We start from the raw sequence: 26,918 nt of genomic DNA, 5'->3' as shown, positions 1-26,918 counted from the left end.
TACTATCACATGTACTTAAAATAATTATAATTGAGTAGCATTTTTTGAGTATAAGAACATTAAAGCATTACTGTATAGAATAGTTTGATCTGAACAGCCAAAAATTAGACATTTTCAACATCATCATATGGGTGTTTTACATCTAAAATACTTTGTTACTAGATTGTCTCTTTGGTGTTCTACTCTGTCTTTAATATTAATTAATTTATTTTGTAACACTATGAAAACAGTGATTTATCTTCATGTCTAACTAGTTAATAAGGGGAATAGTTTGGATTGAGAGTTCGTAACAGACAATATAATTTCATCATTATCTTTCAACATTTTCTTCAAGAAGAAAATAATAAACATTTATGAATATTTTCATCTATTGAAAATACATACAAATACAATCTTCAGCTATTAGTATTACAATGAAAGCAGCTAACATAAATAATTGAAACAGATTTCAATCCCAAATTCCAAATCTGTTCCAGAAAATCTTAAATGAAAGCTTATTGGAGGCACAAATTCTCTTTTACAAGTATGTCCTGGCAATAATTGACTTAACAGTCAATTATTACAAACAAAATCCAGGTTTCTTAATTAAAATACAAAATATTGGCTCTCCTACTTAGCCTGAAATAAGTTATGTCTTAAGGAGACTGCAATTATGGTGGCGCCTTCTAATGCCACTGATGGTCAGAGCCTGTCAGTGTTTGTATAAAAACTAATTTCTTTAGAGGTTTGCAACAGTGCTGTGGATTGTTACTTCCTTAGCAAAGGCTTGGCATCAAAATTCTAAAACAGAAGTTTAGGGATTTTTTTTGAGTTTGGTCTGAACACCAAAAGACTTTCATTTTTACTCTCATAAACGTGGAAAAAGTAAATTCTACCATTTATTATAATTACATTTTTGAACTTGAGAATTTTATCTTTAAATATGTATATAAAAGTTATGAATTGGGTATATTTGGCAAATAATACTAAATATAAATTAATGAACCACTCATAGCAAATTTGAAACAAGTTTTAAACAAAGCCTTTACATATTTGAATGATAGCTATTTTTATTTGGTAAGCCCAAATAAGTTTTTATAATTGATTTTATCAAAATGAATAAAATGCATTTATTTTTCACTTATCAATGTTAGTGACAAAGTCTTTTTAAATGACTTATTTATTCATGTAAGACTCCTTAACCAGCTAACTTAAGAAAGACTTCTAGGACAGAATAGGTTACACTAGTTATAATTTTATCTTTCTTCTACTCACTTGCTTCTCAATTGAAAGAGCGGAAATGACAGTCAAATTGTCTACGGCTGGTCAGTGAGACTTGGGAAGAGAGAGAGCAAAAACCGTGAACTGATTTTTATACCTTGGATTCATACTATGTTTGCTTACTTCTATGTGTGTTTCTCAAGGAATTTAGTGTTGTTATAGGTCATATTGGCATAAGAAAATATCCTTTAGTAGATAAGCATTTTGACTGCTATGTATTAAACTGGAGAATGCATTTTTTTAAGCTGTGTTGTCATATAAACTGTGTAAAAGTTTATATGGACCAGTCACAATTGTGACATACATTTCTTAGACTTTGATACAATATTAGTAAAGTAATAAAATATATGAATAATTATAATGTTAATTTAATAGTTGTCATTGCTTATAGATGGTTTGTAAATATTTTTAAGCAAATTTATAAATTTCACTCTATGAATATTCATTCTATTGGACATCTATATATCAAACACTGTTCCTATAACACTGAGGCAACAATAATGCATAAGAAGAAATTTCCATCCTTCAAGAAGTAGTAAAATATTATAACACTTGACACTTATTATTTATTTTGTGTCAGGACCCATGCCAAGTCTTTTTATGTTTATTAACTTATTTAATCTTCATAAAACCCTAAGTGATAGCACCTGCCATTATCTCCATTTTACAGATCAGGAAACTGAGGCAGATAGTGCTTATACAATTATGAAATGGTGGAGTGAGATACAAATTTAGTCTAGTTCCTGAGCAGAGGCTTTCAATTGTTGTGTTATTTTGCTTCTCCATTTATAACAAGACAGACGTACTCTTTTCCAGATGTTCTGGTTGAAAATCAGTCTTAGGATATGTTTTGCATGATGGCAATCAGCTCCTTGGATAATCACCTTCTTAGCTCCTTAGATACTGTGATTCCATAGTAAAATTTTTTTGGAAAATGCTATATACTACACCTCCCCTTCACTACCATATTTTTAAAAATCTAAATGTGCAGTAGCATGCTAAATGTTTTGGGCGATCTCTTTGTAAAGGTATGAAAATTATACACTTCTCCACAGTGATCTGAATAATGTGACAAATGCTAAGATAGTGATTACATTTATGAAAGAATATTCACATACTGCATCCTTTAATGATTATAAAAATCTTCTGAAATATTTCTTATTAATATCCCTTTTTTAAGGTAAAGAAACCGAGGCAGATGTGTTAAGTGACATTTCACATGTAACAAAGCAGACAGTAGCAAAACCAGTGCTTGAATCAGTTCTAATTCAAAACCCAATGCTCCCAATTATGTAAAGTAAACGTCTCCACTGTCAAATACCACATCCTTGTAGGCAATTATCTATATGCTTTAGATGATTCTTTTACCAAGCTGTTAGTTGGTTGTGTATTGCTTGCTTCAAGGGTGAACAAGCTAACTTTTTCTCTTTTCACTCATCATATTCAGAAGTTGACAGCCTCCCTTAACACTAATGAAAAACCTCAGGGTAGATGTGCATTTTAATTTTATTTCCTTGTGCAGTGGAAGAGCAGTTAGTGAATCAAGCCTATTTTTCTCTATTGCTACTGCAGTAGGATACCATGAGAACAGATTTGAGATGTGCTGTTAAAACAATGAGGAAATATCACCAAGGAGAGAAATGCTGTATGTCCTCCAGGATATTAGGAGATTGTACAGAAAGATAACAGCATGAAATCCCTGGCTTTGTCTAACTTTGTCTATCTGTAGACATAACAATTTTATTTGGTGAAATGATCTTTTCATAGTAATTCTTAAGTCTTTTTCTCTTCTTCAAGTGATGAAACAGAAATACAAACATTGAATCCCAGGTTGTCAGTGTGAAGTAACCAATGGAAAAGCTCACAAGAATCTCAATTTTACTGGGCGAAGTGCCCATGATAATAAGTTATGAAACATGTTGACTTTTATGAAGCATTTTCTCATACATGTTCTCATTTAATGGGCTCAACAGCCTCATGATAAGGGACTCTTTTTTTCTCCATTTCACAGATGAAGAAACTTAGATTCAGAAAAGTGACTCTTTGCTGTTACTCTGTAGTTGTGTGATTCCACTGTGACTTTTCCAAGGTCATTCAGACAGTAAGTGGCAAAAACAAGATATAAATCTTGTTTCCTGGCTTCAAGCCCTATGCACTTTCCTTGGCAAGCACCATGCTTCTTAAATATCCCTGGCATTAGTCATGGAAGTGGAAAAACCATGAGCAATGAGAACTGAAGAATTTTTACAACATTCTTTGATTACATGATAAGTGATAAGGAATAGAAACTTTCTACTAAAAAGTTTCAAGCATCCAAATGACATTTGGATAGTTGCAAAGATATAGTATTCATATCATAGAGTAATGAGTTTTAAGCTTATGCCCTGTAGTTATTGATTTTATCCATCTAAGAGATTCTGATTCTATCATATATGGGTGATTTATATTTCAATTTGGTAGGAAGATCATGCTAGCCTGTTCTTGGGCTTACAATTGCAGAGGCAAGCACCCATTGAAATCTGTATATTTAGATTTATAGACTAAGCTGAGAATATTTGAACTGCTCTAGATTTCCATGGAAATAACTTTGGGCATCTAGAGAGCTCTTGAAAAGCTTGACTAGTTGTGAGTGTTGACACTTGTCTGACTCTGTGTAAGGGATGTTATTAGATTGATCTTTTTCTAATGTGCCTTTATCACTGATTTAAGAAGCATGCTTAAAATATATATGTAGTATGTAGTATATTTACATATGTGGAGTTTCTGGATTATTGTAGAAATTGTAGACAATTTTGCTTAACTTTATTTCCCTAGAAGTGGTTGGAGGAAAACACAAATCTTAGAAGGCTTTTTAGAAGACACAGTATTAAGTGAGATTGCATATTGGATTAGAGCCTACTATTAAAAGAAAATATCTCATGCCAGAATATAAAATTATTGGATGGTAAGAAGTTAATTCCTTAGAGTCAAAGATAATTATTCATTATAAGTGAGAACTGACAGGATATAATTTCCACAGCTACTTAGGTTATTTTCTTGTATTCTTACTATGAGGCTGCATATCTCGTTAAAATTCAGAGTTATTGCTGGATTCAGTGGCACATGCTTATAAGTGTTAGCTACTCAAGAGGAAAAGGTGGGGGCGTTGCCTGAGCTCAGGAGTTATAGTTTGTAGTGTGCTGTGATCATGCCTGTGAATAACCATTGCACTCCAGGATGGGACACATAAGTGAGACGCATCTCTAAAAAACAAATTCAGAGTTATTATTACTGTTATTGTTATTATTATTATTATTATCATTGTTTTGGCCAGAAATAGTGAAAAAGTTGTGAATATTTCAAAAGAATTTATATCTACATCTGAAAACACTGATCTTCTTGGGTTGGGTAAATAGGGTACAATATTTGCATCTGTTTCCGCAAAAGCAGTTTAAAAGTAAAATGAAGTTATAAGATGGGAAGAATATTATTATACTGCAGATCGATGTCATCACTGTCTTGCTGGTGAACGTGCAGCTATAAAAATACAACTGTTCTAGAAGAAAGAAAAAAGAACTGGAGATTAGGAGAAGAGATGGTAGGATTAAATCCCTCTCTGTAGGAAGAAAGGGGTGGTGAAAGGTGAGAGATAAAGAAAACAGTTACACACTTGAAAGAGAGTTCTAGATAAGAAAACTAGGAGGGATAAGCCTTTTAAAAATGGAGACTCAAGATAAAAAGTTTATTGTAAAATAGAGGAACAAAAGATATAAACAGAATGCAAAGTATAAGAAGATAAAATCAATACATTTTAAATGTAGGAAGTAACTGGGAAATGAAGACGGAAAGGAGATCCAGTGTAAGAGGAAACTTCAGAAATAAACATGCACCTCTGAGGAAGATGCATGTGCATGCACACCCATGCACATGGCTCTCTCCAAAAACCAAGAAAATGGGAAAACTTCAGAACTGAACATATCCAGTACAGATATGAAGAGTTCTTTTTATATGAGTTCAAATAATGACTGAATTTTTTAAAATTAGATTTTAAAGCTTTGTAGTAGAGGAGGCTTTATAATTCACATTATATTATAATCTAAGAAAAAAACTACAAATAAGAGCAGAGGACTGTGTAATAAGTAGATACCATTTTGAAAAATATATTCTTATTCCCTCTGTGAAATAGTAGCACTTTGTGTCTAAGAAACTGCATTTTAAGCTTAGTATTCGAAATACAAACACTTAAGGAAATTGTTCTAGAAACAACTGACCTCTAATTTTGGGAAGAGTAGGAACTGTTTTAATTACTGCTATAGTAGGTACAGAATAGCCTAGTATTTAGTCTGTAAATGGATGGAAACGTTTTTCTTGATGCAAGCATTGTGTATCTGTTTAAAGAATAATTTATTTACATATCATAGAAACTTAGTAGCGATCAGGGAAAAAATAAAAAAATCTTGCTCTAATTTGAAGTTGTTATGATACTGAAATATATAGCTTATTATATGTGCAGTGATCTATATGTTGCCAAGATTATTTGTTAGTCATTCTCAACTTTGGCTACATATTAATCAGTACTGAAAAATACTAATGCTTGGGATCATTCTCAAGAGTTGTGATACAATTGGTCTTGGGTGTGGCCCTACTCTTAGTATTTCTTAAAATGTCCTCCTGTCCCCGGTTTGTGATTCTAATGTGCAGCCTGGTTTGAGAGCCTTCGTGTTAGAGGGATATTTACATGTACAGCTTGAATATTAATAATTATTGTTATGTTCCCCATTATTATATTTCCTTAGGGTATTATGTCTTAGGAAGCAGATAGTCCATATCCTCTCATATCACAGAATATTAATGGATCTTGGATGATGTATACACAAGTTCTTTACGTTCCTGATGGACAATTTCTGTCATATATCTTGGGCCAATTTGTTAGGCTGTAAATTTATCTTAAAGGTTTTGAAGAAGACCCTATAAAATATTATCTGCTTCCTAGGAAAAAAGAATGCTATGGAATAGTAGGGCCATTTCATTAAAGCATTACAGATAATAGTAGGTCTGCCATCAAGGCCATTTTGCATTAGATAATTTTTAAGTTTTCTTTAAATTGTCTCATTGTGAACATATCAGACTAGTGACATTTATAGATTTTACTTCCTTCTGAGGATCAAGTTGCTGTTAATGGGAATTTTGGGGTAACTTGGCAGTCGTGCCTTTCATGAACTATCACGGGTTTTGAATTGGTCAACTTATTGGTAAAATACTTGTAGTTAGAGTCAGCCATCTACAAAAGTATAAATAGTGTGGGCTTATAAGCATTTACTTTGATACTCACAAACATGCCTTTAGTGTATTCTTCCATGCTCCAGACCCCACCTCATCCCAGGGTCTACTATGTGTTTCAAGTCTGCATGTACCTACTGAGCCTTAGCAGGTGTGCTGTTAATTGCTAATGTTCCTTAAAAATGGTCATTTTCAGGGCTTCTTGCATTGTAATATGGGTCATAAAAACAGCACCAACAAAACAAAACAAAACAAAACATACAATAAGCAATTACAGTGCAAAGGAATGAGGTGTTAACTGACAGGAGTAGAAGTTGCTCATTTGGGCCAAGGGCTACTTTAATTCAATATGCTGTCCTTGTAATGAGAGACCGAGGTATTTTGCAAGTTCTAATGTAATTCTTTATATAATGCTTTCTCTTCTGAGTTATTCCAATTGCCTAGTATTGACAGAAGTTTGTAGTTAGATTCAAAACTCTGGGGTAAGATGTGTAACTGGCAAGTTTCTTTATGAAAGGAAACTTTAGAAGGTTAGGGGGGCTGCATACTAAGAGATGCAGCAATTCATCAACTCATCAGCTTAAGGAATCCTTATAACTATCACTTCAGAGAGACCTGCCCTTAAAAAATTCCCTGGAATATTGTTCATCTTTGCTAAGAAAATAGACTGTTATACAAATATTAACTGAGCCACTAATATGTACTGCTTTACACCGGTGACCAAAATAAATTCTGCCCTTATTTTCATGCAGTTTGCATTGCAGTTAAAATCTCAAGAAAAAAAGTAGAAATCTCCCTTGATTAATAACTACATTGAAATAATAATTTTATGTCCTTAAGTCTATTGATAGGATAACATTTGCTCTCAAGAAATAATATAAAAACAATCTTAGGAACATGTAATAATATGAAGCATATTGAAAAATCTTCTGTTCATTTAAAACTATTCGGCAATGTCACCATCCATGAAAAATAATACCAAACATTTCAAAAGTTTTTGGTGACTGTATTTTATTATGCATTTCCAAGACTTCCTTAACAACTAGAAATCAAGATGGACAAAAAGCCTATGCTGCCCGTGATTACAGTTCCCTTTCAGGTTATAACAAGCAAATCTAAGTCAGATGGTAGTGGTGTAGCACTGCTCTGCCTTCCTTTGGACCACACCATATTCTCTATTTATATGTTTTTCACTCAAAGAGAGTGAACTGAAGCAATTTAATACTATAGATGCTGCTTTGTTATGCATTTGTCCATGTAGTCACCAAAAAGATTCTAGAACGTGATACCTTCCCTAAATTATCCCACTGCTTCCAGCCTCTTCAACATTCTAAGTGGCCTTATCTCCACCCTTTCCTCTTACTCCCTCCAATACAATCTAAGACAGCTTTTGCTTAAGATTTATAATTACATTCAAAGGATTTTGAATTTTGTTTTAATTTGAGAGACAATTTAGAAAGCAGATGCCATTTATATTGGGTATTTGTCTTTCGCTGCAGTCATATCTTTATATTAGGAGATTTTTCTCCTAATAGAGAGAAAGGAGAAATGTTTTCAAGGAGAAAACAACACAAAAACAAAAAGCCAAAAGTGAAATAGAAAGGTCCTTGTGAGCAAAACAGACTTAAACGCTTCAAATTTTTTCAGAGCAAGTTTCTTTTAAAAAGCCAAAAAAAAAAAAATTGGTTGATTGGACATAGTTGGTTTATATATCAATGAACGAAATGTGTCAGATTTTAATGAGGGAAAGAGAAAAATGATCAGAAAGAATGACAGTGCAGAAATACTTCTTACATGAATTGCATTGTCTCTGTTCCTTACCAGAAGGTTCCTAACATTAGGATATACCCAGGGAAATACTACATTGTGAAAGGTAGATTTTTACAAGGCTCCTTTTTTTTTTCTTTGAAATGTGCTTATCTTTAGACACAATTTTTGTGATGCCCTGGGTGTTTTTCCTGTCCCCATGTCTTCTTTCTCAGCATATGCTTATTCCGTATGTTCAATGCCTTATACAACTTTAAATACATACTCTGAAATTTGGAATGTTTATACTTTTCAGTTGCAAAATACTTTATCCTTCAAATTGCTCTCACATACAAGTCTACCTGAGAATTCAAATGATGGAGTAAAATACATATACTTTTAATTGAAAATGAATCTGACTTTTTGTTTGGCGATTACTATTTCCTCTTTATTCCTGGAAGGCTTTTTCTTTATTTTCTTTCTCTCACTGCACAAGTTGATCTTTTTGAAAAATGAGTGTTTGCCAAATCTAGTCTGAGTTGGAAGGGAAGGTCGGCGGGAAGGGTGATTACTTAATATTCTGACTAAGAATACTAGCAACTGATTTCCAATATAGAGGTAGGCTATATGCCTGGTGAAACAATTAAATTATAATTACACTGATTGATATTATAAATCATGCTTTGGGAAAATGAGTTTTTAAGACTTGTGATGCCTAGTCTCATTTTTATTTTTCACATGTATCTTAGAACAAAAATCCACACATATGGAAGATAGTAAGAGTTGTTTCTTCCTCTAGTGTGGTAAATTTTTACTTTGTAACTCTATGCTGTGCTCTAGAGACAAATGAAGCAAATTCATAACTTTGATGATATATTTTAAAATATTGAGAACTGTAGCCTGCTTTATCTAGGATGTTTTGTAAATGCAGAGAAACTTTTTGTCTTGAAGTAATTGATTTGACTTTGTTTCTTAGTTTGGTTTGGATGTTAAATAAGCAATGTCAAGAATTTTAGCCATTTAAACTATTTCTTTTTGAAGTGGTATTTCTTAACTTACTTTCAACCTGCACTATTGCTATTCTTTGTGATATCTATTTTACAAGGGTGTTGCATGTATGTCAGCATTTGCATCTGCTACTGTGGCATCCTACATGACTATTAATAATTAAATTTCAGTAAAGCAAATATTAAATAGCAACATCAAGTTTTCGTGCAATAACTTTGTATAAGAAAATGATGCGTACAATAAGATTCTGCAAACCCTTTCAGTATTCTGCATTCACCAATAACTGAAGACTTCTAAGAAATATGACTTTTCTTTATACATTCAGAGGAAATATTTAAAAAGAAACAAGAAACCAGGCGCCTCTAGGTAGAGTAAAGGAAAAACATTAAAATTTCATAACAGCTCTAGAATTTGCTCGATAAATTTACATTGGTATCAGCATACTATCCCAGACAATGAAAGTATTGTGAGCCCTAAGGTTAAGTGAGAGCCTGTAAGGAAAATTATAGCTGCACAAAAACATTGTAGACTTCCAAATTTTAAAGGCATTAAACATTAAGGATAAACACATACTTTGCTCATTTCCTTGGATTAAGTATGGTATTTTAGAAAGGTGTGCATTTTCCCCATTTTACCCATCAAATTTTAAAAACTCAAATTTCAATCTGCATGTAGTCATGACGATTTGATTTGTGTTTATTTGCATGGGTTAAAACAAGTCAAAGTATTGAATACAATTTATGGGAAATATCTAATTTGTAAGTCTGTGTATATTTCAACTGAAATAACTTAAAAGTTATGAATCATGACACTACATCTTAGGATATTTGTATTTCAACTTTCTGCTTAAAATTTTAATACTTAAAGACACTTAAAGCTAGGTTATCTAATTACTGTTATTGAATTATTACAACTACTATTTTGGCAGCTAGAATATATTTATTAGTGATTAATTGTCTGCTGTATTTTATTTTAAAAGGATCTGGCTGTCATTAAGAAACAGTGAATTAACCTCAATTTACAACTCATCCTTTTATTTTTTAAGAAGTGCATTTTAATGACTTACAAAAACTAGAAATAATCTCAAATACAGAACCGAGATTCATCAAGCTAACTTAGGCACAACCTGAGACTTAATACAGAAGTGTATTAAGTACATGTCACTGAAAAAAGATCTAAAGAAGTACTATGTAAAATGGATGGCAAAATTTTCAGTGTACTACTTGAAAACTGCCTTTTATTTCCCCTAGAATTTGTATGTCCCATGCATCACTGTTTCATGTTAGATGCGTGGTTATAAAATTGTGAAAATGGAGACTTTTCTGGTAGCAAAAGGGTTAAGTTCTTTTTGCTTTACCAGTTTCAAATTACAATGAGAAGCCTCTTCTTTCCCAGCAGGGTTGTGCTTACACTACTCTTTAGATCTCTCTTGAAGAGGGCTGGTATATTTGTGCCTGCTGGAGGTGGAATTAACAGTAAGAAGGAGAAAGGGATTGAATGGACTTACAGGAAGGATTTCAAGTAAATTCAGGGAAACACATTTACTTGAATAGTACAACCTAGAGTATTATTTTACACTAAGACGACACAAAAGATGTTAAAGTTATCACCAAGCTGCCGGACAGATATATATTCCAACACCAAGGTGCAGATCAGCATAGATCTGTGATTCAGAAATCAGGATTTGTTTTGGAAAGAGCTCAAGGGTTGAGAAGAACTCAAAAGCAAGTGAAGATTACTTTGGGAACTACAGTTTATCAGAAGATCAACTTTTGCTAATTCAAATACCAAAGGCCTGATTATCATAAATTCATATAGGAATGCATAGGTCATCTGATCAAATAATATTAGCCGTCTTCTGCTACATCAATGCAGCAAAAACTCTTAACAACTGTGGATAATTGGAAATCTGAGTTTCAGCTTTCTTAGAAATAACTACTCTTGACATATTCCAAAATATTTAAAATAGGACAGGAAAATCGGTGAGGATGTTGTGCTCAGAAATGTCACTGTCATGAAAAATAGGTAAATTTGTTTTTTCAGCTACTGGGAAACTGTACCTCCTAGAACCTTAGGTTTTTTTTTTTTTTAAGAGGACAAGAAGGACTAAAAATATCAACTTTTGCTTTTGGACAAAAATGCATCTGACTGTATTTTTACTTAAGGGTATTGTGGGTTTCCTCTGGAGCTGCTGGGTTCTAGTGGGTTATGCAAAAGGAGGTTTGGGAGACAATCATGTTCACTCCAGTTTTATTTATAGAAGACTACGGAACCACGAAAGACGGGAAATACAAAGGGAAATTCTCTCTATCTTGGGTTTGCCTCACAGACCCAGACCATTTTCACCTGGAAAACAAGCGTCCTCTGCACCTCTCTTTATGCTGGATCTCTACAATGCCATGACCAATGAAGAAAATCCTGAAGAGTCGGAGTACTCAGTAAGGGCATCCTTGGCAGAAGAGACCAGAGGGGCAAGAAAGGGATACCCAGCCTCTCCCAATGGGTATCCTCGTCGCATACAGTTATCTCGGACGACTCCTCTGACCACCCAGAGTCCTCCTCTAGCCAGCCTCCATGATACCAACTTTCTGAATGATGCTGACATGGTCATGAGCTTTGTCAACTTAGGTATGTTGTTCATTTGTTTGTTAATCTATGTTATTACAAAGTGGAAGTTTTCCCTAATGGTAAAGGAGCTGCTTGGTAGGTGGTCATGTTTATATAAAGACATTTTCTCTAACTCTCCTGTTTAGCTTCTGTTTTCTTTCTTTCATTGATGCCTTAGGCAAAAAGTCATATATATATATTTAATATGAATAGTTAAATTTAAACACTTATAGTGTGGGTCTTTTCAGATCTTGTTAAAATTTCAACCTCGCTTAAATATATGAATGCAAAGGCAATAGTCTAAAAACAGGGAAATTTATGAGGATAGCTATGCTATGGGCAACAATAAAAAAAAGAAGCACTTACAGATGGGAAAGTAAAAGTGACATTCGGAAGCACTTTTTTTTTAAGTGATTTAAAGCACATGTAAGTATATATTCACATACTACTTAAAAATCTCTCATCTAGGGGAGGCAACTACTGTAAAAATATAGAGGTAAAATTAACCAAGATTGAATAGCACCATAAAAGATTACTATCAAGGAATCAAGGAAGGGATTCTGAAATTCTATAGTAAATATTTCAGAAATAAAGTTTCAATCTAACAGTTCTTAACTGTAATGAGTAAAGTATGTTATAGCTACTTGATTTTTTTCACAGGCAAGAAAAATGTAAAACATGCTTTAGTGGTCTTTATCTATACAAAATTTTCCTTCTATATGAGATAAAATATTTGAAATTTTCTGTAAACCACAACAATATTAATGAGAAAATTTTAAAATTATGTTTTAGTTGTAGCTGGTACTTCATGGTGGTTTTTAAATACTGATAATGTCAAATGATAATTTAGTTCCCAATATTCCCTCTCACAATAATATTATGGATTACCAATTTCAAATTATTTTATAAGGGCTGTTGTTTTCTTTAAATGTTTTAGTAAAAATTGAAGGTGAAATTTACTATCTCTGGCAGTCAAAGGAAAATAACATCGAATATATTTTATGTTTGAAGATTAAAAACTCTATCAACAAATTTAATCCACTGGGAAGAATTGAGAACTTTATGATGTTATAGCTTTTAGAACTTTGTTTTAAAAATGCAATCTGCTTTGACTTAAAATTAACATGTTTTATTAAACACTTAATTAAAAACTTCCTCATGTAACATCTCAAAGGAAATATTCTTTGAAAAGTCAGATTATCAACAAATCTTAATAACACATGGATGCTTTTATAATATATGTTGCTTAATATACTCTGCTCATTTGCTCTTAGCAATCCTAGCATGAAGGATAAGGTACTTAATAAATCGTACGTTTTATGTTGCTAGAGACAAAGGTCTCATTATTAAGTGAGTAAGTCATAATTTGTTGCACTAATCAGGTGTCCTGGAGGCCTTTTCTTCTACGTATAATTAACAGACTTCACATGGAACTTTTTAGTCATTAAAATATAGCTTAATTTCAAATTAATGTGATTGCTTTTACCTAGTATAAGGGATATGCAAGTGTAGCTTGTGGTACATTTTGCTTTGTAACATTTCTAAAGTATTATTCAAGAATTTAAAGTAGTTTAAATATTTTAATAGAAAAATTTCAACCTAGCAAAATTTATATATTCATAAACCATTGAGAAAATCAGGTCATATCATCTAAAATCTGACAAAGAAGCATATGTATGTTACATATTTTAATAAACGATAGCTCAGTCATGAATGTCATAATATATTTTATTAGAATTGCTCTGATCATTCACAAGAGAAGTGTAAGCATGATTTTTGGATTTATGTGTTTACTTTTTATAAATCTACATAGAGTAAGAAAGTCAAAACCAATAATAGTTTTATTCATTGATTCCTATAACTTTTTTATTATTGAGAAACACATTTAAAAATAAATGACATTTTGGTTACATTGTTCAGATTATAATAACATAGCAGTTTATTAGTTTATTGCCTATATGAAGAAATACAATTATTCATTTGACTCTAGAGAAACAATATTAGCTATAAGCTTTAGAGAAACTGTGTGTTTATTTTTATCATGCTTGAACTTCTGAGTAGTGCTTTATATTCAATAACAAACTATGTTGTTTCTTCTTTATTTAATAATTCCAAACTAAATGTCTTACATGAAATTACTGACAAACTGATTCTGATACTAGGTGAGTTTTTCTTGGTAGACTTTAAGGAAAATTAAACCACAGTTTAATTATCCTTTGATCATGCCTTCAAATACATTCAAGATTTATAGTTGATCACTGCTTAGTAAAAAGCTTCAACTTTTGCATTTCTTTTATAATCAAATAAATAAATAAGCATACTCAGAAAAGGTGAAAGTGTAATAACATTATTAGCTGCAATAAGAGTGCCAGTGCTTTTTAAATGTAATATCCGTTAGCAAATATTACCTGTAGTTTATTTCATGTTCTTATAAGACTAAAAAGGATTAGATTTTATTTTTTCACTGTCTTAAAAGACATGCATATAGTTGAGACTAAGTACAAATGAGTCACATTAGTAGTAGGCAAGGGATTTGTATTGAGGAAGTCACCTGGATATTTAAATATGTGAAAAGAATCTGTTGACATTTCCCATAATTAGAAGAATTATATAAAAAGGATCTAGTAGCATCCTTTTAAAAAATGCTTGTGTGTTGTCCTTTTCAAGTCAAATAATGGATTTTCCACAGGTACCTTGCCATTCAGAAATTCTTTTTTCAACATAGTTTTGGTCACGAAGAACAATTAAACTTAATCCAAACTCAGAATCATGTTTAACAGAATACCTACTGTTTAAAATTCAGATGAGATTAGCTTTATATTCATAAGTGAAAAATAGATTTGAATTTACTAAAAGCAAAATAAAAAGTAAATAAATTGCCTAAGGCATGCAGACATCTGAATATGAAACCAAACATATCATTTTAACCTTTATTTTAGTGACTCGTTTATTTTGAAGAAACAAATATAAATTATTAACTGTGTGAAGAGAAATATTCCTTCGATCATATTCATTATTCTTAGGCCACTTTTATCAGTCTCATAGTATTAAATTTTACAGATTGAATTCTTTGCTTTTTCCCTAAAACTGTTGAATATCAGTGGAACTTTTGCTTGGTCAATATAATATTATTTTGTTAGTAATAAAAATGTTTTTCTGTTTAGTTTTATTTTCTTTTTTAACCATCTCTTTGTCAAAAGTGCTAAGTGTTAGTATATGTATTAAATACCAGTACAAGTTAAAGACATGATTAGATAATTTGCTTACAATATTTATCTCTTGTTTACACAAATAAAACATGTAGTGTATTTCTAAGATCTTTTAGTTAGAAGCCAATTTTATTTGATTACTTGGTGACATTATCACCATAATGACATAACACTAGATGTTTTAGAGGAAGTAAAAACAGGAAAATTACTTTTATATTATTCTTTGTATCTACATATTCCTCTGGAAAAAGTTGAACTTTGAGTTTATTAATGGTTTTTCTCTTAGATGTATTTCAAGAATACGTTTTAATTCCAAGCACAAAAGTATTTAAATGTGTTGTTAAATTTTTTAAATATAAAAACATATTTAGTCTGTTATCATGAAAGAAAAACGCTTTCAAAAACTAAACCTTTTTTGCCTACTTACCCTAATCATTAAGTTCTCTTGGTACTGGAAGGAAAAAATGCTTTATGTTCTCAGTTGACAGATTTGAAAGACATCATTGATAATTTATTATTGTTTTTGGCTGAATCAAGTGCCCAGTGGAAAGTAATTTATATACAAATCTACCTAAAGATGCCTATCTATGTAGTCTCTCCAACAGAGTTATTAACACTTGTGTAACATAAACACACCCATAAACACATGGAAGTTTTTTTTGAAGGGGGATGGGTTGGAAGGAAAGATAATATAAAGCCATTATAGTATATATTCATAAATTATGCCTGGAGTAACTAATGCTAATAATGGGTAAAGCAACAATCATTCTGTAAAAGTTTTAACTTTTGAAGAGAAAAATATTGCTGAGTGAGGAGACCTTTTTCTCTCTTCTTCAACAACACTTCACATTCATAATCACGACCAACGGGATTCTTTTTCTCCTTTAAAGATGGTTGATTATCAAGTGATTGGCATGACAGACAAACTCTGGGTTGCCAGAGATAGTTATAATCATAGTTTAATTAAATGCTTTTTTTTTTTTTTTCAAATTGTAGTGGTTACTCACAAATATCAAATTTTAAAAGTTTAATGAGACGTATTAGCTGGAACTAAGAAGGACTTGGGACTGCCTCAGCTGCCACCTCTCCTTCCCTTTCATTCTTCCATTTTCTGTAATATCACCACTCTCCCTCCTCCCTTCTCATCCCAGTATTTTTTGGCCTTTCCTCCTTGTTCTTGGTCTCTGTAGCCCCAGGCTCTCTTGGCACCCCTCTCCTTACCACTCCCACACTTCCTGGGGTCTGCCTTTCGTCCTGGTTTGCTAGAGGCTTAAATTAGTTGAAAATCAATTAGTTACAGTTTGAGAATTGAGGTACACTCTCCTGTTTTCTCTCCAGTTGAGAAGGAAAAGGTTATGATGTGCCAACTGCAGCCTCCACCCACTGGGAGAAAAGCTCCCCAGGGCATCAGAGCTGCCCTGGCTCTTGCCATCCCCTGTAATTGTTTCTCCATCATCCCATTCTTCTTTGCCTCCTCATCTCTCCCTAAGGATCCCATTGACAGAATTTAATTGTGTTTTGCCTTTATTTTATAAAATAACATTTAAAAGGGAAAATTTCAAGAAAAGTAAAAGAAAGAAAAAGAAATCAACAATGAACAAAAATAACACTCATCAAACATGCCATTCCTGTTTAGTTTATAAAAAGCTTTTGTGTTTATTATCCTTATTTAATATTCTGTCACTTCCATGAAGAAATTATTTTTTTTTGAAAAGAGATAATGAGAAAGAATAAAGAGACGAAGAGTGAGATATAGAGGCATACAGGAATAAGGATGAGACAGAGAAAGAAAGAAAATATTTTTGAAAAAGAGCCTGAAAGAAAGAAAAGGAATGAAATGAGTCATTAAAGGCTGGTTTTTCAGTTGTACAGGTGGAGGAGATGCTGGGAAATCCTCAGTCTACCTCATACCAAACAGCAGCTAATTCAACATCCCCAACCACATCAGCTCGAGGGGAAAACCCTTTCATCCTTACACACTAAAATACCGAAGTGGGGAAGGAGGGGGTTGTCTCAGTATGTGTGTACAAGGAGCATACAGACAAGCTACTCACATTTACAGTCATAAATAATGTAGTAGCTCAGCTTTAAAAAACCACAGGTTAAAGGAAGAGGCTTCCCTGACGCACAGGAGAGGGGCTGAGATCAGAGGAACCACTGAAAGGGTTGGAGAGAAACAATGAATCCCTTGTTCTAAGTAATATTTATGAGTGCTTCTTTGCACCTTAAGTTCATATTTTATTGGCTGGGCCGTGGGGTTTCCCCATTTGCTCATCTCTTAAAATAATACCCTTGGCTAAGATATCCTTTAAAACACACTAGTCAGCCCTGACAAACAGCTCATTTATTTAGAGGAAAAAGGGATCTGTTTTGATTTTGATGTCAGATTGGGATGTTTAAGATTCAGCTCACAAAGTCTGACAGTAAGATAAAAATAATGGTGGAGTATTCACCTGACTTTTTCAGAGATGTTTAAAACAATCTGCATAACCAAGTAGTAGTAACACCTAGTTTGTATGAGTCTTGACCAAGAAGCTGTGGATAAATGATAATTTTAAAAGGCAGAAACAAAATCTATGAAAATGTACAATGTTTAAAAAGAGAAAAAAATACTATTTGTAGATTAGTAAGAAAGGTCTTTAGTGGTTTGGGGAGAAAAAAACAACAAAAACAAACAAACAAAAAACCCCATAAATCAAAAAGAATGCATTAACCTCGGCTTGGAAGGCAGTGAATTAAATACATATTACATAACTCTTAGAAACTAAAACCTTGTATAATTCTGAATAGTTGGATGTTGAAATTAAACTGGAGGTTGTGCTGTTTTATGACTTCTAAGACAATGAAGATCCTTGTCTTCAATATTGTGTTTGTTCAATTTCTTTCTAGAAAAAAAATTAGCAACTTTTATTGTTCTTGTTAAACAGGTTTCCTGGAGTTGTTAGGAATAAAGAAAATAGTTTTAAAATGTCAGGATCAACAGATGTAAATCCTATTTAGATTTTATTCAGGACTATAACACATGTCTAAATCAAGAAAAGATTTATTAACATGTACAAAATCCTTCAGCTATTTTAATGCTATAATGACATGAAAAGTTCAATGTTATTTGTTGTTCTGACTCTGTGATTACCCTTTCTATATAGGAGACACAGCCATCTCCAGAATCTTCAGTTCATGGCATATTACTGCTCACATGACTTTAAAGTTCAATTATAAATTAAATTTAGTTGCTTTCTTTTCTGTGCTTCCATGGCAGAAATAGAGTAGTATACAGGAAGCCAGAATGCTTGGATTGGAATCCCATATTCCACGCTTACTAGCAGCGTGAACTTGAGCAAGTTATTTAAATTATTTGTGCGTCTGGTTGCTTATCTAAAAAGTGCAGATAATAAGATCACCTTCCTCGATGAATGTTGAGATAATCTGCATGAGCAGCTACATAATCTGTGGACCCTGATGCAAATGAAAATGCAAGCCCCTTATTCAAAAATTATTAAGAATTTCAAGATGGTGGCAGCAGAGTATTACACCAAGAGCAGGGCCCTTCTAAGCCCGGGACCCTGTGCAACTGCGCAGGTCACTTGCCCGTGATGCTAGTCCTACATGTTTGATTACATGTTGTGGCAACAGAAACCATGTCCCATTCATCCCTTCCCGCCTGCCCCACCCACTGAGATGTATCAGCATTTCCAGAAGAAAAGAGACAGAATGTGCAAACTGAATTATTTAGGAGAGTTTAAATGATGTTATAATGTTTATAGTGTTGTGGGCAGAGGTTTTGTTTTGTTTTGTTGCAGCAAAACAAGGGATCATATAGTATCTTGGGATGGCAGGGTAGCCTTCACTACTCCTGGGCAGGGGGCATAGTTACCAGAAAGCTCAGAGGAGAGATATGTGGGGAAGGTGCCCTGACAGAAACTGTGGCATTGGGAGAAAGATGCCATGCATCTAATCCTTAGATACTCAGCGGGGGGGATACAGATACCAAGGGATAAATACCCAGACCATATGCTTTGGTCTTCCATTGGTTCACCCTCACTGAAAGCCAGAGAGCCACAGAACCCATTGGTGCAGTTCCTAAAAGTTAGTCTTTTGGTGAGAATAGCAGAATAGGGAAATGTGGAGAGTGGATCTTGAGGTACAAATGGAAGATATTTGGCACAAGTAGATAAATAAACATTGGTTGTTTAGTCAGCAAGTGTTCTAGAATTACTTCAATTTCAGTGCAAGTTACTGATATATATGTTAATCTTTGTATTATTTAGTTAATTTATAGTAAAATTCAAGAGAGAATAATAATTTAGTGTGAGAGATAATTACTTCAGGAGTTGGTGAAATAAAGTGGTAAATATAAGCATGGCATGCTGAAAGAAAAAATCCTTAAATTGTACATGGGTCAATAATTTCAGGTGATATATTAAAACCATTTTAGAGAAAATTGAAATTAAGAAACAAAAATTACCCAGAAAACAGAAGCCCCTAAAACAAGAAAAAGCAGCACTTTCAGATCACAATATGAACTGCGGACTGCAATTGCCAATGAAAAAATTCAGTATGGGAACGAGAAGAATATATGCAAGTATGTAGAGCAAAATGAAGAGCAATATATTTTTCAAATCCCTGTTTATTGTCAATTGTATGCCATACCTCCTGAGATGATCCACGACTGTGTGTTAAAGCTTTTTTGAATTCTGAGTGGAATCATATGATATTCTCACATGCAGCATTCGCATTCCATAGTTAATGTTGCAGGCATAAATAATGTTAGAATGAGGTAGATAGGGATTATTGTCTTTCTTCTTTGCTACCTTTATTCTCCTCTGGCAGACCATCTGTGACTCAGAGAGGCAGAATTTAGTAGTGGAGCAGGTATGTCAGCTATTTAGTTCTCATAAATAATCAAGCACTAAACCTTGAGGCCAGAGCCACTCCCTGCCCTTCAATCACAGAGAAACACTGAATAGAACAACTCCTTTCCAGTACAGTTTGTGTTTTCCATCAAATTTGCTACAGTTGGAAATTTCACTTATATAATTATTAAAAGAGGAAGAGAGGGTGCAACTCAGAAACTGTGTAGGCTCTTCTGCAAATAACCTTGATGCAGACACACAAAAGACTTATTTATCTAGTGGGGAAGCAATGAAGGTTATTAATTAAATATGCTTTATGTCAAAATTTTTGTAGATGTATTCTTTGCTCTGGGTGAAGAAGGGTCATTTGGTTCTCCCTTAACTGTTTTAGTAGGGTTTCAGTGTTAGGGTTTTGGAGCCAGACTGGTTTGAATTCCAGCTGCGTATCCTTGAGCAAACCATTTCACTTCGTTGAAACTATTTCCTCATCTAAGTGGAGCTCATAATACAGAATTGGAGTTAAGACTGTATAATGTAAGGTCCTAGACTTTTGAGCCTACATGAGACAAATACTAAATTAATGGTCTCAACTGCTATTACAACTATTTCTACTAGAATATACTATGGAGATCTAATGTTAGAGGAAATCTACATTCAGCCTACAAGACTTTGTCAAATAAATGCCTTGCTGAAATTCTGAAACATTATGCACATAATTTTTCCTCTGTCTAAAAGAAAAACCTTGAATTTCATTGACTCTTTCTTCAAGCTGGACAGCTGATGGACTCTGTTCCCCCACTAGAGTGCTTTGGAAAAGGTCAGTCTATGTCAGAGCCTTCATGAGACGGACTGTGGTGCTTTCCTCTGAGGACCCAAAAGCAACATTTTCTGTGATTAGCTGCTGAAAGGTGCTTTTCATACTACCTTTGGTCAGAGTCCTAGAACTATTCCATGGTTTTACTTTAATTTTAGATATTACCTGTTCCATTTCCTTGCTTGTTAAGGAGGGGAAACTAATTAGAAGCCAAGGTAGTAATATACAATTAGAAGATATTTGATTGTAAAGACATGGACAGTCTATAAAGAACCCTTTGAAAGAATGTAAAAAAAAAATGAAAAGTTTTTAATGCTTATTTTCATAAGTCAACTCACTTTGAGGGTTTTAATTTTTAAGAAGTTGATTCATGATGAAAATTTAGGTGTATAAACTTTTAAACTCTAAGCAGGAAAGTCACTCTGTTCAAATAATCTTTCAATCCTGGAGCTTTCAGTATTGTCTGTAACTCAAATCATGTCTGAATTTATGATTTATAATTTGCAGCTATTCTCATTACTACTTAAATCATTATTATAATTTTGTTTCTACTTAATACCATTCAGCCTTAAGTATTGTGACTTTCCTCGACGATTTGTTTGGGTTTTTTTTTTCAGATGCGGCTATTAAATATTTTTGTTAATTATCTTGAGTTGTTATAATAACTTATAATTTTTTAAACAGGATGAAAATGTATTTGTTTGGTCTCCAAAGCCACACAAAAGGCCATACATAAACTGTGGACATCTTCTATTACAGGATGCACATTGTAAAATCATCACATTGATTTTTGATATTTCATTATATATTGAGTGGGAAAACATAGATTTATTGTTTTCTCATTATTTGATAAAATGCTGGAAGATAAGTCATTAATATGATGTCTCAGTCTGTTTGTGTTGATGTAACACAATACCTGAGACTGAGTAATTTATAAGGAAAAGTTTGTTTGGCTCATGATTCAGGAGGCTGAGAAATCTAAGATCAGGCAGCCCATTCGATGAGTGTCTCATGCTGTTTTAACTCTTGGTGGAAAGTAGAAGGGAACGTGAGTATGTGCAGAGACACACAAGAGAGACTGGACTTATTACAGCCTGCTCTCAAGGGAACTAATCCATTCCCAGGCGACCAATAACTCCCTCCCTCCCACAAGATGACATTTATCTATTCATAACGGCAGTGCCTTCATAATCCAAGCACCTTTCACAAGGTTCCAATTCCAAACGCTGCCATATTGGGAATCAACTTTCAACATGAGCTTAGGAGAGGACATACTCAAATCGTAGTGATAATTACTGCTAGATTTTTAATTGTGATGGGTAGTTATTAAAATAAGTACAGATTCCAGCTACATATTTATTGATATATTCGAACCACCATTTAAGGTTTTTCTCTTTACACTTTACATTAAAAGTTATCATTCTTCAGTAATTTACATTGAGGAATAATTTTATTTATCAGAATTAAGTGAGCTTTTTTTTTATATGTGTGATGCATTCACGGTTATGCATCTTTAAAAATGGGGGTGTACCTTCTGAGAAACGTTTCTTTAGGTGATTTCATCACTGTACCAATATTATAGAGTGTACTTACACAAACCTAGATGGCATATCCTACTAAACACCTCAGCTAGATGGTAAAGCCTATTGCTCCTAAGCTACACACCTCTATAGCATGTTACTGCACTGAAAACTGTAGGAAATTGTAACACCATGGTAAGTATTTGTTTATTGAAACATATCTGAAAACACGTAATTGGTTGTGCTACATTATGATGGCTATGATGTCACTAGATGATAGGAATTTTTGAGCTCCATTATAATCTTATGAGACCAGTGTTATATATACAATCCATGTTGACCTAAACATTGTCATTATGTGGCTGCTTATCGTATATAAAATTTTCAGGTCTTAGTATGGTTGTAGCAGTGATAATTAAAGGAATAATAACAACAATAAATGTAGTTCCCATGGCAGAGACTGGACTCTGTGATTTTTATGCGTTATTTCAATTTATCCACATCTTAATTCCATAGGTAAATATATTTCTGCCAATGTATTGATGTAAAAATTGAGGGTGTTCTGAGGGTAAATAACTTATAAAAGTCACCCAGCTAGTGAATGGCAGAATCATTACTGGAGCCATGCTCTGGCGACAGTTTTTATATTCTTCACCATTATTCTTTGCTTTGTAACAAAATTTTGAAGAAGTTAAAAAGTATACAACTTTTAACAACAACAATAATAATGGCTTATATTTTTTAAAAGCATCTTTATATACGTTATGTGGTTTGATCTAAATTACCGCAGTATATAGCCCTCAAGGAAGTAGATATGATCCCACAACACACATCTATGGAAACTGGAGTTCTGAAAGGTCATTCATTCAGTCATTTAACAAATATAAGCTGATTACCTACTATTGGGCCAGACACTGTGCGAAAGACTGTGCCTGTTTTACTGCCAAAATCACAGGGCAAAGGAGCCAGGTCCAGGCCCAGAATCCTTCATTCTTGTGCCAGGATTTTTTTTCTTTGCTCAATGTCACATACTTTAAATAAATCACACCCAAAATCTAGCACCAAGTAAAATTAAAAACACCAACAAAAATCCCTTTAAAGAATTTTTTTTAAAAGTCTGTTACCAGTTGACAGAACCTATGGAAGCCTTTTAGTCCAAAAAGACTGGAGCAAAGGTAAAACCAAGTCGCAGCAAAGCTTGGAGAGTCTGTTAGAAGCCTGCTTGTGTAGCTCTGGGAAATTATTAGTATGGAGGCTCCAGTGACTTTCAAGGAAATATCCGAAAAGAAGGTTTTATATTTTACACTGGATGCTAATTGTACATTCCAAAATATAAGTGTGTCTCAAACATTCATTGTTTGTGTTGTATTCAGGAAATAAGGATACAAGAGCATTCAATTTTTCAAAATTAAGTTGTTGGAGCTGTCTAAATCTTACCTCTGGCCCTATCTTACTTCTTCAATTGTGATGGATAAAGATTTTCACCCATATTTTACTGCTAACAAGACTGTATACAATGTTTACTTTGCTACTGTATACATTGAACATAATGTAGTTTCAGGATATAATAGTCAATGGAGATACAATTATAAATTGAAATAAAAGGGGATTCTGAGAATTGGTATAAGGACCACTTTCATACATTTCCTTGAATCTACTTACGGTATTGGGGATTGGGCAATGATTACTTTAAGTTGATTGTCGAGAAAAATCGACCAATATTCTATGACTTCCTTACTCTTTCCTGGTAGTTTACTGTGATTGTGAAGTAAAAATTGCATCAAAATATGGATATAAGTGTACTGGTACACCATCATAGTTGTTAGCGTTCACCTATCAATTCACATCAACAAAGCATTCTATCATAAAAGTGAAATAATAGAAGTGGAAGAAGTTAAGACCTTAATGATTTCTTCTCTAGTGGATATTCTGTTTGCTACAGCTAGCGTAGTGCTTATGATGTGCAAGAGAGCATGCAAATAGCATTTCAAGTGCTAACATTTTAATTTTTCATAAAGTCACTCAGTTTTATAGATGAAGAAATTGAGACCCTGAAGTCCTTTGTCCGAAGTCCTACTTCCTGTAATAGGAAGAACTGGATTCAGAGCTCAAGCTATTCACTGATATGCTGTGCTGCCTTTGTCAATGCTATTGAGAAGGCTGCTGTGTTGAATTCTTTGTAAAGTTCTATATACTTTCCAACATATTATATATTGAATTTGCACTATTTTCACTTCATCAGTAAGGGACATAAAATGGCATAAAATGAAATAAAAATATTTTAGAAGAAAGTCTGTAATAATGAGTTTACCAAGAGTCTACTCCCTGGAGTTCAACTGTTACGGGCTTTTGATAGATGAGTTGTGTTGCTGGCCTTCCAAAGGAGGCAAATACTCATGAAACAGAGGAAAAGAAGCACTGTGCAGACACCAAAGATACTGACATTTGTGACATACAATCTAATTGGTCAGTAATGAGGAGTGGAAAGATTGATCTGTGTTATTGATTCCCACTTTTAAAAGACAGATTTGGCATAAACAAGATTAACATTTGGCAAAATAGAAAAGAGGTAAAATATCAAAGTTGCAAATAGTAATAGGCCTTAAAAGAAGGGTTGGAGATTGGAATAAAGTATTAGTGAGTTTAATTGTATGCTGGGTGATTTCCAACCTGCTGGCCGGTCTAGAAGGCCATATAAGCAGGGCTGCCATGCTGCTAAGTATGAGTGCCTTGCCTCAGCTTCTCTGACCCCACTGGGGATTGGCCAGCAAATTAGTAGAAACCTACTAAAGTGGAAGTTTGGGCTGCAGGAACATCTACAGCTGACAAGTTAGGAATCTCCTACTGCTTGCTGCAGCTAGAAACTGACAGATAACTTCTGCTTCATCTTGCTAGTCATGACTGAAACTCCTCTGTGTTCTAGATAATATTTAATAACATCCCATATTTAGTACACATCCTTTGATTTGTAGCAGTTACAGCCCTAATCTCTTGCATGTGTAAAGTGAGTTTCTTTCCATAGCTCACTCATTGCCCCTGTATCACACAAAAGCTGAATATATTATTTCTGCTCCTTATGTATTTTATGAATTAAAGGGTAAGGACTTGGGATATATTTGTTTTCCAAAAGAAAATATTTCTGGAGCTACAAAATTTCTCAAAGCAAAATGCAGAAGTACATGAGGACAGTTCAGACCCGGCTATCCTCAGCTCCCAATACCAAACAGAGGGAACCAAACAATGAATTATGAAAAGTAGGTACAGTTGTTAACATACTGACGTTTAGCTAAAACACTGAAAACTAATCTCTGCTTTGAAAAGCAAGGCAAGAAGTAGCTAAGAGTAAAAATGAGCATTTAAGACATCACCTGCTGCTTCTTAAAAATTCTATTTTGTTTCTCTCTCTCTCTCTCTTTACCTTTAGCCACTCGTACCCAATCTACCAATAGCCCAATTGTAATGCTAGAAGTGTGAAGGATCTTAATATCTGATTTCTAATTATTTAGTCTGAGACATGCTTAGGAAGTCAGATGAACTTATGAATAAGTCAAACATTTAATTTTTATTAGACTAATTTCATTGACATATGATAAAACATGTGCTTAACTATAATTATATTCAAATCTCTTGGCCACTTTCAATCATTTACTCTTTTTAATCAGAGTTCTTTGTCAGGGTTTCCTGAAATGAATTTCGTTGAAAACATTACTTTTTAAAAAAATTTTTTGAGACAGGATCTTGCTCTGTTACCCAGGCTGGAGGTCAGTGGTGTGATCTCGGCTCACTGCAGCCTCACCTCCTGGGCTCAAGCAGTCCTCCCACCTCAGGCTCCCAAGCACCTGGGACTACAGGCCCATGCCACTGCACATGGCTAATTTTTAAAATTGTTTTGGAGATGAAGTCTCCCTATATTGCCCAGGCTGGTCTCAAATCCTGTGCTTGTGAGATTTGCCTGTCTTAGCTTCCCAAAGTGCTGGGATTATAGGCATGAGCCACCAAAACATTTCTCTGTCCTTTTCAGAGGTGTTGTCTGAAATTTTGTGGCCAAATAAATTTGAACTATGCAAAGAAACTAATTCAATAGGTTCTTATGTTTTCAGGACAGGATTCCTCAGTGTGTTTATTATGCTAATGAGCATTATGAATCTCTGCAAGGAGGATATAAGTTACAGTGTTTAACATGATTGATCATTGGTATTTGGAAGAAACTTTCCTTTATGGAGAAGGACTGTTTATAAAAGCCATTCTGGAAATACAGCAAACAGAACGTTATGATACTTTAATTTGTTGACATTGTAGTCACTTTTATGTCAAATTAAAAAGGAGCAGGAAAAAAGTTACAATTCCATTATCTAGAGCCAATTATTGTTGATGTTTTTGTACATTTCCTCTTATACTTTAAAAATACACCTTTTTGTATAGTTGAACTGTTTATGTAAGGTTGTACCCTTACTTAATTCTTGATTTTTAAGTTTTTGAGTTTTCTCATTTGTTCATTTTCTCCTTATGAATATATTTTTGATGACTGAATAATATCAGCTAGACAATTCATTGTCATATTTGCATAAACAGTATTTTATTATTGGGCATGCAATTTTTTTAGTTTTTACTATTGTGTGCTGTGTTGCAATAGCTATTTTTA

General features: G+C 33.5%; 1 protein-coding gene across 5 annotated transcripts in view, besides 1 other annotated feature; it reads left to right on the top strand.

The window, feature by feature from the left end:
- The first annotated feature begins 10,686 nt into the window (after positions 1–10,686).
- BMP5 (bone morphogenetic protein 5) overlaps positions 10,687–26,918 on the top strand; it is a 121,938-nt gene continuing 105,706 nt past the window's right edge. For all 5 annotated transcript variants that reach the window (NM_001329756.2, NM_001329754.2, NM_021073.4 and 2 more), the window contains exon 1: positions 10,687–11,901. In NM_001329756.2, coding sequence (NP_001316685.1) covers positions 11,412–11,901 — 490 coding nt within the window. In that variant the 5' untranslated portion in view covers positions 10,687–11,411. The remainder of the gene's footprint in view (positions 11,902–26,918) is intronic.
- Positions 25,956–26,145: a silencer, noted in NCBI's record as "fragment chr6:55724930-55725119 (GRCh37/hg19 assembly coordinates)". NCBI's record gives its function as "represses an EF-1alpha promoter that drives an FKBP-Casp9 reporter gene in an ReSE screen in K562 erythroleukemia cells {active_cell/tissue: K562}" and the evidence as "EXISTENCE:reporter gene assay evidence [ECO:0000049][PMID:32094911]".

Source organism: Homo sapiens, chromosome 6 (assembly GCF_000001405.40).
Source record: "Homo sapiens chromosome 6, GRCh38.p14 Primary Assembly".
Lineage (NCBI taxonomy): Eukaryota > Metazoa > Chordata > Mammalia > Primates > Hominidae > Homo > Homo sapiens.
Note: the sequence above shows the minus strand (reverse complement) of the source record. Positions and strands in the feature narration are given on the sequence as shown.